This window comes from Homo sapiens, chromosome X (assembly GCF_000001405.40).
Source record: "Homo sapiens chromosome X, GRCh38.p14 Primary Assembly".
NCBI lineage: Eukaryota > Metazoa > Chordata > Mammalia > Primates > Hominidae > Homo > Homo sapiens.
In genome coordinates, this window is record NC_000023.11 from 19,744,881 (window position 1) to 19,761,464 (window position 16,584).

Below are 16,584 nucleotides of genomic sequence, written 5' to 3' on the forward strand. Positions count from 1 at the left end.
CCTTATCTTGTTAAATTAATTAATTACTTTAAATCTCTTACTGACTTGACAAAAACCATGGCTGGCCAAAGAGGCCTTGCCGCTGGTCAACATGCGTGCAATTGCCGTGCCCGCGGACCCAAGAGGCAGGTGGAGGAATGGGAGGGCTCCTTCTCATTGGTTTGAAAGTGCAGAAAGAACACACACTGAACTCTACCTCACCAAATCCAATGAATGCAGGTCTCAGGAGTTTGAGAGCTTACTTGCAAGAATGCAGGAGGCACTTTTGGGCAAGACTGTAGTTTTACAGCAAAGGGCACTTAATTCTTAAAATGGGAAATCCCCTGCTTTGGTAGGATGAATTTAACAAAACGAGAAAAGAAAGAAAATCCTATAGCTGCTAACCAACATGGGCCTCCAGCCAATATTTGATCTGAATAATTCAAAAAGGGAAATGTAACCCAGGGCAGCTGGAGGCAGTAGAGGAAGAGACAGAAAGGAAGAGAGGCACAAAGCTATGATCAATGGGCAGTTTACTGGACAAATTCTTATCCTGTCTAAATTTTATGAAAGATTAGCTGTTCTTCCTCCCCATGGTTATATAAACTTGCCTTCTTTTTTTCTGGTTAATGGAACCCTTTGCTAATCTAGTTCCTGTGCCTGCTTTCAAACAGCTCTCTATTTCTCTTTAAGGAAGTAATAAGCCCACTAAAAGCTGGCAGCCAAGCGCTAACCTACAGGCATGCTCAGCATGTGCCCTGGCTGGTCCAAGGTCAGGAAAAACGGAGGGACCCTAGTGTGCTCACAGTATAAAATTGAGTGGGGTCGTCTCTGCAGTCTTCTATTCTCTCTCACATTATTTCAAACAATTATCACCAAGAGGGGATGGGAGAAAAAACAAAACTCCAACAAGCTGATACCTGAAAATCTGCCTTGAGGTCTCAAAAGAGAGAAAACAAGATTGTTAAAGGTCTTCTGGTCAGACAGATGTGTTAGCTATATCTTTGCACATTCTGCCTCACAAACTCAGAGAGGCAGGGTCTGCGCTAGGGAGCCTAGCAGTTGGAGAGAGAAATAACTTGATAAGGTTTGCCTTAAATTAAAGGGAGAGTGCGGTCAGACACACGGCTCAGGCCTGCACCACAGCATTCTCTAAATTCACCTTTCATCCATAAAAATAGATATGAAAGTGAAATCTACAGCTCCAGAAAAATCATCATTTACAAATGTAGTCTACTTTCCCACTGTCAAAAAATATTTTTATTAGTTCCCTTTATTACAGTTACTATACATATAGTCACTTGCCAAGTATGTATGTGTGTATCCAAAATATATACCAAAAACCAAAAGGACAAACTCTATTCAATTTTTCAGCAATATAAAGTTTGACACAGTTCACCAGAAGTTTCCAGCTTTTGTTTGTGTGCAGGGAGGGAACCTCTTTTTCCTTTTCCATACCTCTCTTATTGGTTCTTAAAATCGTTTCAGAAGACAGCAAAGAGTTTCCACTGGGCACTTCGTGCAGGGGCTTTTCTGGAGCTTTGTTGGTGAGAGGGTCTTTCTTCATCTCTTTCTTTATTTCCTGTGAGGACAGATAAAAGGAAAACAAGATTATAGTTTGAAACTTTAGAATGCCTCTTGGACTATCTTAAGCTCCATCTTTCTGGAAATGAACTATAGCAATGCCAACTTAGCATAACATCATGTTTTAAAAACACCATTTTCTGTATCTTTGTAGTTTTCTTACATTTATTAGAAAAGCACCTGGTCCTATAAAGTGGAATAAGCCCCAGTATGGTGAGGCGACCTTATGTAACTATGGCCATTCCATGTGACTATAAAGAGAATGAGTGAAACATAAAAGCCACCATACAGCTCTAAGTGACAGCCTGTTCTTGTTAAACAATGACAAGCTTTGGCCAAGCAGACTCACCCCCTTAAAAAGCCTTCTGATTTATCTTCTTCTCAACAGAGATTTAAAGAAGCATATTCCCAAATTACCATTGTGCTCACAAGGATACTAAACCCAAAAGAAGATGATTCTAATGCATTTACAGTCATCAAGTTCCTCTGGCTTTTCAACTCTTGACAAAGAAAAAAAATAAGGATGGCTTATCACTCTAGATCAGGGGTCAGCAAATGAAAGCTCACCACTCACTTTTGTAAAGAAAGTCTCATTAGAACACAACTATACTCATGCATTTAAGTATTTTGTACAGCTGCTTTCATGCTACACCAGCGGAACTGAGTAGCTGCAACAGAGATCAAAGTCTAAAATATCTGGCCCTTTACAGAAAAAGTTCGCTGACCCCTGCTCTAGGTAGACTCTTAATCAAAGCTCCATTAAGATCTAGATTTCTGAAATCTGATGGCTAATATAATTATTTCAAATTGCTTTAATAATTTACATAATTGTTTTAAAAAGCATTATTAGACCAAGATAATAGTGACTCACAAAGTATAAGTCTGTATACAGGAATTCCCCCCAAAGGAGTAAGGATTTTCTAGGCTTGTCTGAATCCATAATCACAGTAACTTGGGGAAAAGTGAAAGCTTAGGGGCTGACCCAAAGCATGGCTGAATGGCAGGAAGAGCTCAAAGATGAGGAATGCGCTCCTTAAAAAGAGCCCATGAGGTAAGAAATGGGGATGGGCTCCCCGCTGGAAGGAACAGAGATGCTAAATTGGGTAGAGGGCCATGACTAGGCCCGAGCAGAGGGCAGAGGCAGAAAGAAAGCAACAAAAGTTTGTCAAAACAATGCCACTCCCCGCAGCTTCCTGCACACTCAAGAGTGTGTTAGTTACCATATCCAATTCCCCAGTTGCTGCCTCTGTTCACAGCAGCCTCACCCTCTCTTCCTCCCTCACCAGGGCCCCACCGGAAACCAACAACTGGGGCTGGCGCTTTGCTAGGTTGAGTGTTTCAACTGGCGTCCCAGAGGCCTAACTAGGCGAAGCTCAGCCCTAGCCCAACACCGGTACCTCTGCACACCACACAAAGCTGTGTGTGCTTGAATATATGTACACGGACACCTACCTCAGCAGCCCCAGCACCTGCTAGAGCAGCAGTTGCTGGGGGTTCCTGTAGCCTCACAGGCAGATGGCATCAGGGGACAATCTGCAAACATTGCCCGCCTGAGCCACATGACAGGATGCTAACTTGGTGATGGCTGCCAGCCTGCTCTGGCTCTGAAAGTAAAGACAACAAGCCACCAAGTGGGCTCATTTCCTCACCGGTTGCTTCTTTGGGGGAAGAACAGTTGCTCAAACCTCATTTTCCATCGCAGTGTGGGTATGACTGTGCACGTGCAAATTCCCCACCTAGACACAACGTGATGCAGTAACACAACAGAGCACAACACCCAACTTTGCCAAGGAGTAACTCAGAGAAAGTCAGTGGGTTGAGGACGACATAGCAAGTGTCTACTTAGCAATAACTGCTAATGGCATGCAGCCGGGGAAGGGTGGGAGAAGCAGCGCCAGCATTGTGAGGCTGGGGTGGTCCCTGGAGAAAGCCTCAGAAGCCATGGTTCTCAAGAAGGCTCACCCCTACTCCCCAATGCTTCAGAGCAGCACGTGGGGAGCAGCTGGCTAGGAAGGACTGGGTCTGATCAAGAGCAGGTGCTGAAGGGCTGAGAAACTGGCACCAGGAGAGAGGCTGGCCCATAAATTCCAGACTCCATTGTTCCCCCAGTAATTGTTCACATTTGCCAAATAGAGAAGCTGAATGATGAGTGAATTGCTTAAGTTGCTTCTTTAGGTGGAAGCAGGGAGGAGACAAAACCTAAAATATGTCTTGCATTTTTTTCAGAGAAACCAATCGGACACATGGCCGTGGCAGTTAATTCTATAGGCTCCCCACCTGGATAACACCCAAGCTCAATGCAGCCCCACCCAAAGCCAATACCTTTTCTCCAACCTGCCCCTTCTCCCAGGAAAGGGCAGCCTGTCTTCTTTGGTACCCCATCATCCACCCAATTACCCAGAGTAGAAAATTCAGTATTATCCCCCTATCTAAGCAGTCGCCCAGTCTGGCTGCATCTACTTTCTCAATCTGTTTCTTTTTTGTCCTCCTGTAGTATCTTAAAAACATAAAGGGAAAAAAATATAAATGCCAAGCAAAGGACTTGAATAGACGTTTCTCCAAAGAAAACATACAAGTGGCTAATGAGCATGTGACACGATGTTCAACATCATTAGTCATTAGGGAAATGCAAATGAAAACCACAATGAAATACCCTTTCGTACCTACTAGGATGGCTAGAATTTTAAAAGAAAACAAGTGTTGATGAGGATGTGGAGAAACTGGAATCTTTGTATATTGCTAATGGGAATGTAAAATAGGGCAGCTCCTGTGGAAAACAGTATGGCAGCTCCTTAGAAAGTTAAATATAGAATTACCATCTGATCCAGCAATTCCACTTCTAGGTATATACTCAAAAGCATTGAAAGCAGGGACCCCAGCAGAATTGAAAGCTTTGCCCCCAAGGCAAACTTGTATGCCAGTGTTTACTGCAACTTTATACATAATAGCCAAAAGAAGGAAATAACCCAAGTGTCCATTAAGAGATGAATGGATAAACAAGATATGGTATATCCACAAAATGGAATATTATACAGCCTCGAAAAGGAATAAAGTTCTGATACATGCTACAACATGGATGAACCTGGAAAACATTATGCTAAGTGAAATAAAACACACAAAGGGATAAACATTGTATGAGTCCACCTATGTGAAATATCTAGAATAGGCAAATTCATAGAGATAGAAAGTAGATTAGAGGTTACCTGAAAGGTTGGGAGAGGCAGAATGGGAAGTTACTGTTTGATAGTTAAAGGGTTCTCTCAGGAGTAGTGAAAATGTTTTGGACATAGATAGTACGGATAGTTGCACAACATTCTAATGTAATTAATGCTACTGACTGTACACTTAAAATAACTAAAATGGTAAATTTTATGTTACATATATTACCACAATAAAATGAATAGAAGACTCCCACATGAATAGCAGCTAACATCTGAGTGCTTACCATGTGCCAAACCCCGCTCTAAGAGCTTCACCTGGACTGCAACTTTTAATCTACACTATGGCCCTACTCAGACACCCACACAAGACCCAGGGGGCTAAGCAAACTTGCTCAAGGTCAGACAAGTAGGAGCCAGGATTGGAACTCAACCTGTCTAGCTTCAGAGCTCATCTCTCTCATTTTTTTTTTCTTTTGAGACAGTCTCACTCTGTTGCCCAGGCTGGAGTACAATGGCGTGATCTCAGTTCACTGCAACCTCCACTTCCGGGTTCAGGCAATGGTCATGTCTCAGCCTCCCGAATAGCTGGGATTACAGGCACGTGCCACCTCACCCGGCTAATTTTTGTGTTTTTTAGTAGAGGCAGAGTTTCGCCATGTTGGCCAGACTGGTCTCAAGCTCCTGACCTCAAGTAATCCGCCCACCTTGGCCTCCCAAAATGCTGGGATTACAGGCGAGAGCTCATCTCTTAACCACTGTTTCCTGGAGTACTGCCTGGATTATAATCATGTCTTCCTGCCTACAATCTCTCCCCTCCCAGTTTAGCCTCTGCAAAATGGACACTCAAACGTCTGTTGTTCTTGTCAGTCCCTACAGAAATCTCCAGTTACTTCCAAAAGACCACAGGACAAGCTTTCATTCAAACACTTTTCAAATTGAACAGCAAACCACAAGTCTCTGTGTACTTGCTTCTGACTAAAAATATGTGACATGCATGCTGACCCCACAGAACCAATTACCATGCAAATATAAGTTGGGGGATGGTGCACTGCTTGGACAACACCTTATGTTCACAGAATCCTGACGTCATGGATTCCTATCCACAGGCTCTAAAAATAGGTGATGATGCTAGCAATGATACAACTGTACACTGGCAAAGGCTTATAAATTAAAGTGCTTTAGCAGCTATTTTTTCACTTGTTCCTAACAACAACACTGTCAGGAAAAAAAAAAACAACTGATTTTGCCAAACATATATTTTTATACATAAGAATAGTGAGACCCAGTCAGAGAAGATGCAAGATCAGATGAAGGCCACAAAGCTAGCAAGGGGCAGAGCTGGCCATGAAACCAAACTCTGAGCCTTCTAGGCAGAGCTCTCCTAGTACATCTCACCTCCTAAGAAGAACCAGTGGCATGACTATAGGAGGGAGACTCAAAACCACTCAGCCTGTGGCTCCAGTGGAAACCTTAGCTTCCCTCCACAGTTAAGTGATGTAACAGATCACCTTACCTATAAAGCCCAAGACTATTGAGGCCCAAATCTTTGAAGTCCCTTATTATCCATCCACATAGAAGAGCTCCTTCCTGCAGAGGAGGGTTGGCTTGGAACTAGAGCAACTCCTGCCTCTGTATATCTGCCAACAGCCAAGTACCTGGAGCTCTCCGAGGTTCTGATCCAGGTCATGGGACTCTGGATTTCCTGGGACTGGGGGTTCCTAGACCCCCGTCTTTAATTGCAACTTTCTGACCATCAGGCCCGTGTTTTTTTGCCATTTGTTAAGAACCTGGGTCCTATAATCTCAGTAGTAGAGGCCACACCCTGGACCAGAATTACAGGCCATGAGGGCTCATGGAAATGCATACATAACTGCCCACATATATAAATCAGCAATGATTTTGCTTGCTTAAAGACAATATAGAACAGACAGGGTATCAGCAAACCTCTTCAGAAAGCAAAGGAAACCCAGCTTCTCTTTATCTCAGATCTGATCTCTTTACAATGGAAACTCAGCATGTACAATAAAACCGAGGCCATCAATAAGGTATCAATGCTGCAAAGGACGCTTCAGCTGTGTCACAAGGACCACTTGAGAAAAGGAAGAGAACTCACACCATTCCCTTCCCAAAAGCACTGTACCAAACAGAGCCTGGGATGGCTCACCCACATTCAGAGACCAAAAAGCCAGAATAATGCCACTCTGGCAAAAATTCACGACACATTCAGCGGCCTGCAAACAGCAGCCTCACCGGGCAAACAGATGATGTGCATGCAACTGCGAGCTATGCTAGGATGGTCTGCTTTCTGATAAGCTGCGTTGCCTGGATCTGGCTGGCTGCTGAGCCAAGTTGGCTACCTCTTTTCTCTTCTCCCTCACCATCCGTTTCATACTTTACAGGTACTGGTGAGTTGGCTGGGTTCAGTGTTAACTCCTTTAAATTAACTGGTCAGTCTGTAACCAAAATACTACACAGTAAAATACCAAAATATGATCAGTTTGGGGGCCCCTCCCTCCTTTCATCCTTTACTTCTTTCACCATTCATAACACAGTTTAAGGCACAGGCTTCACGATGAATGGAGAATGATGCTGTGCATCAGAAAACCAGAACTAGTACTGACGTCATCATTTATCTGAGGTGTGACCTTGGGGGCAACACTTAAAGTCTCTATGCAGCCCTTCTGTCATCTGTAAAAGAGGTCTAACAACAAACACACCATCCGAGAGGTGTCTTCAGGATCAAAGAGTGAATTAGAGAGTAGTATACAAATTGATTATCTACTCTCATTATTAAATAGCAAATACTATTTTAAAAAGAACTATACATAACACAGATGAAATTCACAGTCATAATGTTGAATGACAGAAGCCAGACATAAAAGATGATGTACTGTATGATTCCAATTATGTGAAACCCAACAACAGGCAAAATTAATCATTGGTGAGAGATCTCAGAACAGCAGTTACACTTGGGGAGGTGTACCAGGGAGTCTCCTGGGAGGATGAAAATGTCCTATAACGAGGTCTGGGTGGTGGTTACACAGGTGTACATAGACCAAAATATTCATTGAACTGTACTTCTAAGACCTCTGCACTTCACTGCATGCAATTTCAATTTAAAAGAACAGCACAAATGCTTAAACTGAAAGAAGACAGATTCTTTTAAATTGAAATGTGCTGATATTTTCTCCTAGGAGGTCAGACATACACAAAGCTAGTGCTTGGGTATTTTAATGTTCATCTCAGGTGGTGAGATGTTTTCTGGGATCAACATCAATGGGGCAGGTGGTCGGAATGTGCCAGATGCACCCTATGGAGTAGGTGAGCCATGCGTGTCTCATCTCACCTACCCAATCAGATGAATGGATCTGTTCCCAAGAGGGCATCCTTGTTCTCCACCTCAGCTGTTTTCCCCCTATCTTGCCAGATTTCTCTCTCTCCTGTCACCAACAGTATTGGCACACAGAGCAGGCTGGTGCCACGGACACCAGGGAAAGCTGGGCACCACCCTGATCTGCCCAGAATGCTGGTCCTGGTACTTCTCTCTGCATTTGAAGAGCTGAGTGAGGTTGGGCAGAGCCCCCTTGGCTTAGGGTGGAAGCAGGGCAGGGGAAACAGACATCATTCATCAGCCTGCCCTCAGTCCTGCTCTATTGCTTTCTGCAGGAAAGGCTTCCTTTAGACCCAGACGTGGCTGCAGGATCACAGCTGTGCCCCCTGCACTAGTTCATAGAAAACCATTTTGCAAAATTACCACTGGCAGGAGATTTTTAAAAATCACTAAAAACAAACACTTTTACCAAGTCTACTGATCAAGACAGCTTTGAATAGACACAGAAACCTAGAATAGCACATTGTTCCCCAACATGCATATCTCTCCCCTGACCCCACCCCACCCCACGCAAAAGGCAAGTCTGAGGAACAGCTGCCCCGTGAGTATGTTCCCTTCGTGCAGAGACTGTGCCTTCCCAGTATTTGGCTCTCTTCACAAAAGGCTGGTCTGTCTCAGAACACCTGGGAAGACACAGCAAGTATTCTGAGAATATGGCAGACTACCAAGGGGAGCTTCAGCTGTAGCTTTAAGATTCTGTTTCTTTAAAAAATATATCTGATTACCACAATAAAAGAAAATACCCATGCTATCAAACCACCAAGTGCACCAACTTCATTAGAACTGTAAAGAAGAAAAAAAACATAAAGTAAATATGGCAAAATATGAGGATTTAATAAAGCAAGGGTGATGGGCACATAGGTATTTGTTATATGCTTTACATATTTCATAATTTGCCCTAAAATTACATAGCAGAACCACGTTGATGTCTCACACCACAATGGCTTTCTCATACTTACAAAATATGCTGATGCTCAGAAAAGTGCTTTGATATATACTCATAAATATTCTGATGGTATTTTCAGCTCAAAGCTAACAAGGAAATTTCAAGAAATGTAACAGGTCTATTACCATGTTCTATGTCAATCTTTAACTGCATATTTGCAATATCATATACTTGCAGTATTATCTCCCAAGAATCACTCATAACACGAATAAGAAAATAACAAGAACATGAGAACAAGGGCAAGAAGCTCTTGACCTTCAGGAAAGGGATGAACACTATAAAGACCACAACAAGTAACAGATACTGGACAAAAATGAGAACGACTACCTTTGTGTCCCAAAGAGATAATGTTGCTTCCCGATGTACAGTGTAATTACTTGCATGACAGTTGGTGCCTTTATGTTTGCCCACACCCCGCTAAACATCTAGATTATTACCACTGGATCAAAGGGTGTCAATATCAACCAGTTGTTTGGATACTTAAAAATATCTATCAGATGAATGACCAATTTAGTAGAGTGTTATGGGCAAGATGGCTGTCTACAGATGAAGTAGAGTATTTTCTTTCTTTTGGTGGGGCGTAGGGAGGAGTCTTGCTCTGTCATAACCTCTGCCTCTTGGGTTCAAGCGATTCTCCTGTCTCAGTCTGCCTAGTAGCTGGGATTACAGGCACCCACCACCAACATCCAGCTAATTTTTGTATTTTTAGTAAAGACCCAGTTTCACCATGTTGACCAGGCTGGTCTCGAATTCCTGACCTCAAGTGATCAGAGGCAGAATATTCTCAATTGAGCCCAAAGCTGCAACAACATGGAGATCTGTATCATCCCTATAAAGATACGGCTGGATCACCATCAACTTCTCACCTTAAAAGATGCAGATCAGGCTTAGGAGCAGAGGGGAGAAGATGATACAGTAAGAAAATTCATGTAGTCCCTAACTTTTTTAAAAAAACAAGTAATACTTATTTCTTTATTTAACTGGGAATATTAGACATTCAAAATGAATTTACTCATTTAAAAACTAAACCTTTAAAGCACTAGAAGAAAATAAAGAATGTTTCTACAATCTCAGAAAGGCAAAGATAATTTAACACTCTGACACAGAATTTAGAAGCTAGAAAAGAAAGGGTCAATAAATTACAGAATGGCAGGCACGGTGGCTCACGTCTGTAATCCCAGCACTTTGGGAGGCCAGGCAGGCGGATCACGAGGTCAGGAGTTTGAGACCAGCCTGGCCAACATGGTGAAACCCTGCCTCTACTAAAGATACAAAAAATTATCAGGGTGTGGTGGCGTGTGCCTGTAATCCCAGCTACTTAGGAGGCAGAGGCAGGAGCATCGCTTGAACCCAGGAGGCGGAGGTTGCAATGAGCCAAGATTGCGCCATCGGACTCCAGCCTGGGCGACAGGGCGAGACTCTGTCTCAAAATAAATAAATAAATAAAAATAAATTACAGAAAACTAAGAATATAACATAGCAAACAACAACAACGACAAAATTCATCAACGAAGACAAAAGACAAACTGGGGGAATGTTGCCTCTTCTATAAAGAGAGCTCCTTCTACAAAGTATCAGCAAAAGATCAATAACCCAACAAAAAAATAGCAAAGGACAGGTCACATAAAAAAGAAAAAAATGACTCAAACATGCAACAAGATGCTTAACTGCATTCACGATGAGAGAAGAGAGACAGAACGTCTCATATTGTTTTATACTGTTTTATACTCAGAAAAAGAAAGAGAAGCGAAACTAAAGGCAGGTAGCCTGGCGCCTAGGAACCAGACCTGAAACTAGGCCTGGGCCTGCCTGACCTAAGCCTGGTAGTTAAAGATCAACCCCTGACCTAACCGGTTATGTTATCTATAGATTCCAGACATTGTATAAAAAGGCATTGTAAAAATCCCTGTCCTGTTCTGTTTCGTTCTGATTACCGCTGCATGCAGTCCCCAGTCACGTACCCCCTGCTTGCTCAAATCGATCATGACCCTCTCACGCAGACCCCCTTAGAGTTGTGAGCCCTTAAAAGGGACAGAAATTGCTCACTCAGGGAGCTCGGCTCTTGAGACAGGAGTCTTGCCGATGCTCCTGGCCGAATAAACCACTTCCTTCTTTAACTCGGTGTCTGAGGAGTTTTGTCTGCGGCTTGTCCTGGTACAACAAGAGAAATGAAAATTACAGTGGTATTCCTGTACAACAGTGCCTGACAGTGCTCAGTACACAGAAGGACCCTGTATCATTCCGGCTATTTTCTCATACCTAGAATTGTAGCATTTACATACTATATTATACTATAGTATATATTACATACTATATTATAATAATGTTTACATGTGTCCTCGCACTAGAATCTGGCTCTCTCAGAATACTGTTTGTTTTCACAGCATGTGACGTAGTGCCTGGCACACAGCTGGTCCTCTCAAAGAATGGGGGCTATGAGGACCCCAAGAACAAATCTCTCCAGAATTTGACAGTTTAGGGAGGGATGTACCTAATTTTTAAATTACAATGAGATATTTTTATCTGTCAGATTGTCAACAATTAAAAAAATTGATAATGTCAGCAAGGGTGTAGGGAAAGAGAGCCTCACATACTTTCTAAGTAGAGTATAAATTGATAAATAAATTTGTACAGCCTCTGTGGGAAGCAACTTGACAACTGTCTATCAAAAATTTAAATGTCTGTGCCTTTTGACTCAGTATTTCTACTCCTAGGAATTTAAACTACAAATATACACGTGCAAAACAGCATATGTACAAGATTAATCGTTATGCCATTGCTTAAATTAGCAAAAGACTGAAAGAACATAAATGTGTATCAGTAGAGAGCAGCTGATGAATGGCCATAAATCAATCCCATGCAACTCTCTCCAAGACTGAAGTCAGTCTGTATGTACCAAGAAAGACAATCACCAAGACATGTTGCTAGGTTAAAAAAAAAAAAAAAAAGCCTAACGTATGCTAGCATTTGTGTACATTTGTATGTACGCCTCTGTGTGTAATACAGAAGCCACACACAATAAACTGATAACTGAGGCTGCCTCCAGGGAGGGGAACCAGGTGGCCGAGGGACAGAGAAAGCATATATTTTGTCCCTTTTAGCTGGCACCATATGCCTGTGTTAGCTATTCAAAATTTTAATTAACTTAAACATTGAGTAATTGAAATATGTTTACTATTTCCTGATCGTTAAATTATTGACTGCTTTTTTTTTTTTTTTTTTTTGCAAACAAGTGTGAACGGAAAATAAATCCTGGGGTCCCAAAATCACTAAGCTAAAGGAAAAAGTCAAGCTGGGAACTGGGTCACGCAAACCTGCCTCCCCTTTTGGTTCCTGAATACAATGGCTACAAGATGAAAAACTACATGCCTACCCCATATTTTACCCACAAGGAAATTCCTAGTGAGCTCCAAGGTCTTTACCCTAAGGTGTTTCTCTTAAGATTTCACCATGGCAATGTAAATTGATAGCTTATCTTTACAGGTGCAGTTGTCCCCTGCTCACCAGACACAAATGCATATCTGACTGTTCTCCTGCCCCATTTTGTCTATGTTATCTTATGTAAAAACACAGATTCCCTGCATTTTTCCTCTGCCCCATTTGTCTATATTATCTTATGTCAAAAAAAAAAAAAAAAGCAGATTCACCGAGCCAGACAAAGACATGAATAACTATTTTTCCCTACCCGCCTCTTATGTGAAAATTGTATACTTCTCAATATCCCACCCTTTCGCCTTTAAATTTGGAGCCCTCAAAATCATCTTCAGAGAAAGGCATAGCACCTGTCTCCCGGGCGTGCGTCCTTAACTTTGGCAAATAAACTTCCTAAAATGATTGAGACTTGTCTCATCATTTTTCTTGATTGACACAAGGAAGAAGTTGACACTGCCCCCCAATAAGAGTTTAGCTATATAATTTCCACTACTGATTTTAAAGATCCAACAGTGTATGCTAACATACACAAAAGATTTACAGAAAGCTCTCCAGTCCATACGTTTCATTAAGCAGGGGAGACAGGAAAGCTAAGATGTGGGGAAAATCAGGCAAAACCCAATAATCAATGTTTTTTTTTCAGTCATGTGATATAAAGTTCAAGATTCAAGGCCGGGGGCAGTGGCTCACACCTGTAATCCCAGCACTCTGAGAGGCCAAGGTGGGCGGATCACCTGAGGGCAGGAGTTCGAGACCAGCCTGGCCAACATGGTGAAACTCCGCCTCTACTAAAAATACAAAAAAAGTAGCCAGGTGTGGTGGCACGTGCCTGTAATCCCAGCTACTCGGGAGGCTGAGGCAGGAGAATCGCTTGAACCCTGGAAGCGGAGGTTGCAGTGAACTGATATCGCACCACTGAACTCCGGCCTGGGCCACAGAGTGAGACTTCGTTTCAAAAAAAAAAAAAAAAAAAAAAAAAGATTCTTGAAATGCAAGAATAACTAAGGGCATGACAATCAAGAAAAATAAAATGCATATAAAGAGGCAACATTAAATCTTATTGATGATAGTTTTATCATGGGTAGGATCCAGCTTTCTTTGGTGCCCAGAGTACAAGTAAAAAGAGCTAAACAGTTTGGCTAATTATGCTCCAAAAGGTTAATTACACGATCTCAAATTGAGTCCCCTGAGGGATGGGCATTTTTCCCATCAAAGTCTCCTCTGGAAAAATTTTAAAATGTTTCTCACTACATCATACCTAGTCCATGAAACAGTACCCCCAACACAGGAACTGTTAAATCACGTGCTAGATAAAAAGCTTGCTCTTGGAGGAGAAAAAAAGAGGAAGCAACATCCAAGGTCCAAGGGCCGTTTCTGCTGTCTTTTTAACAGCTTTGATGATGAGTAAGAGCCTGTCACACACCCCTGGGCTATAAGCATGGGTCCTTATGTCTAGCCCCAAGAGTCAGGAATAGGCCTCATTCAGTCTTTCACTCCCAGGCATTCAATGAATGTTAGCCATTATCATTAGTTCTATCATTCTTTTAACGGTGTGCCAACATAAATGAAAGCATTTATAGTCACAATTGCTTCCAAGACTAATAGTCTAACAGAAAAAAATTTAAGTGCACTAGGATATTTTAAATAGAAAAAGAAACAGAATTGCATCTTCATTTCCCTATGTCTTATGGAATTAGCTCGCCATTATGAAGAATATACCATGAACAAGGTACTTTTCTAAGGCTTTACATGGGATAACACATTTAATGCTCACAACCACATTAAGAGATAGGGGCCATTATTATTTGTATTTGACAGATAGGGGAAAGTAGGTCCCAAGAGGGGATGAAAACACAGGCAAGAAGGGGCTGGGTGAGGAATGACCCCGTGTGGTCCTATGGCCATGTCCCCATTCCTTCACTCCCTAAGACCGTTCTTGCTCTGAAAGGCCAGCCTCCAGAAACTGCCATTTAAAACAGGAGGGACAAGGAAAATGACTTTAGTATAAACTTTTGGCAGTGACCAGCACGAGGGCCAACGATTTCAAAGCCAAGCCCAAGTCAAGAAAATCTTGACTTTTTAACGAACAAAAAAGCACCTGTTTACTGGTTGTTGAAAGAATGTTTATACACATTTATATCCAGGATAACTCGATTGTCAAGAATAAATTATTCCAAGCCCGTGACAAAACAATGCCATTTCATGCTCATTTCCTGATTAAAGCTTTTAGACAGCTGGGCATTTTCATTTCTTAGAGCTGTAGGGAGCTATGCAAATTTCCACGCAGCAACTCCAAGATCATTAATCTACGGAAGGCATGTGCTAATAGAATATTGGATTTTACATTGTTTCAGTGGAGAAGAGGAGGGGTGGGTTAATCTAATTACCCTATGTGTGGTCACCTGACTGTGGTTAACAAAAAGATCAAATGCTAAACTGTACAATCAGCAGCAAATTCCTAAGTAATGAAGCATTTCACATCACAAAAGGAATGGGAGGAGGGGGGTGACATTCTTACATTGCTTAAAACCAAATACTGTAGCAATAAAAATAATCACACCAAGTTTACACAAATCATAGGCAGGGCATTTTAATTACCATAAGGAGCTAGGACCATAACTATAAATCAGTCTCGGTCTCTCTCTCTCTCCTCTCTCTCTCTCTCTCCCTCTCTCTCTCTCTCTCTCTCTCTCTCTCTCTCTCTCTCTCTCGACACACACACACACACACTTGGCTGGGCGCGGTGGCTCACATCTGTAATCCCAGCACTTTGGGAGGCCGAGGCAGGTGGATCACAAGGTCAGGAGATTGAGACTATCCTGGCTAACACAGTGAAACCTTGTCTCTACTAAAAATACAAAAAATAAGCCAGGCGCGGTGGCAGGCGCCTGTAGTTCCAGCTACTCGGGAGGCTGAGGCAGAAGAATGGCATGAACACGGGAGACAGAGCTTGCAGTGAGCTGAGATCGCACCACTGCACTCCAGCCTGGGCAACAGAGTGAGATTCTGTCTCAAAATAAATAAATACATACATACATACATACATACATACATACATACATACATACATACATACTGGAAGGTACTTCTAGAGAGAAGGATGGCTATCTAGAGCTGAAGTTGTCAGGAACCAGACACAAGTGGGCACCGAGAATTGGACTCACCCTGTAACCATGGTTACATGCATCTGGCATGTGTCACTTGGGGCATGGTACTGTTATTCCTTCTTCCAGTAAGGAGCAGCTAGATTAGGAAAGGCATCAGCCTGGCCCAAGCAGCTGACACTTCAATTCCTGGTTCTGATACCACTGAGAGCGTAACCTTGGTGCCTCAGTTTTGTTAGTTTATCAAACCATTCTGAAGATTAAATAAGATCTTGTGAATAATGGCACAGCCTCTGGGTCCCAGGATTCTCTGGCTCCATCAGTAGGAGGGAGAACCCCACCTGCCAACAGACATGGGCCAGGGGCTAAGAAGGGATGGTTGAATGCTAAAAGGAAAAACTTTTTAGTATGCAACTCCTAGTGTGGTTGGTTTTGAAGAAGTTTCAAAAAATTTACTTGAAGCCGTGCACTGGCTCCCTCAGAAGGCTACTGGAGGGTGCATTCCATCAAGTCAAATGAGTAAAACAAGAAAGAGAAGGACGCAAGATCCAGGACAGTCAATGAGAGAGAGGAGGCGGCGGAGGTGTGATGGGAATTTCCTGGCTGACAGCTGGGCAGCAGAGTGGAACAGGAGGTTGGAAGGCTCTGGTGTTTTTCCAGGAGAGGGAGAAGGAGAGAGGTAGAGAGGGGGGAGGGGAGGGGGGAGAAGAAAACAAGGAGGAGGGAGGGGGGGAAGAGAGAGAGGGAGGGAGAGGGAGATGGTGGTGAGAGAGGGAGGGAGAGAGAGAGAGAAGAGAGGAAGTAGGGGAGAGAGAAAGAGAGAGAGGGAGGGACGAAGAGGAAGGAAGGACAGAGAGAGAGAGGGATAGAGAGAGAAGGGAGAGAGTGGGGAGGGAGGGGGGAGAGAGAGGGAGAGAGGGAGATGGGGAGAGAGGGAGGAAAGGAGGGAGAGAGAGAAATAAAGCTATATACGTAAGTTAATTATAG

At 42.8% G+C, this 16,584-nt stretch overlaps 1 protein-coding gene across 27 annotated transcripts in view, besides 1 other annotated feature; it reads right to left on the minus strand.

Annotated features, from left to right (window-relative positions):
* Positions 1–16,584, minus strand: part of SH3KBP1 (SH3 domain containing kinase binding protein 1) — a 353,624-nt gene that overhangs the window by 210,904 nt on the left and 126,136 nt on the right. For 21 of the 27 annotated variants that reach the window (NM_001353890.2, NM_031892.3, NM_001353892.2 and 18 more), the window contains one exon: positions 1,438–1,561. In NM_001353890.2, coding sequence (NP_001340819.1) covers positions 1,438–1,561 — 124 coding nt within the window. Of the gene's footprint in view, positions 1–1,437; positions 1,562–2,434; positions 2,712–3,015; positions 3,197–16,584 lie in introns of those variants that run through there. The other 6 variants (XM_047442048.1, XM_047442045.1, XM_047442041.1 and 3 more) reach the window with 2 other exon arrangements.
* Positions 3,182–3,231: an enhancer, noted in NCBI's record as "active region_29467". NCBI's record gives its function as "activates an Ori minimal core promoter by ATAC-STARR-seq in GM12878 lymphoblastoid cells {active_cell/tissue: GM12878}" and the evidence as "EXISTENCE:reporter gene assay evidence [ECO:0000049][PMID:35858748]".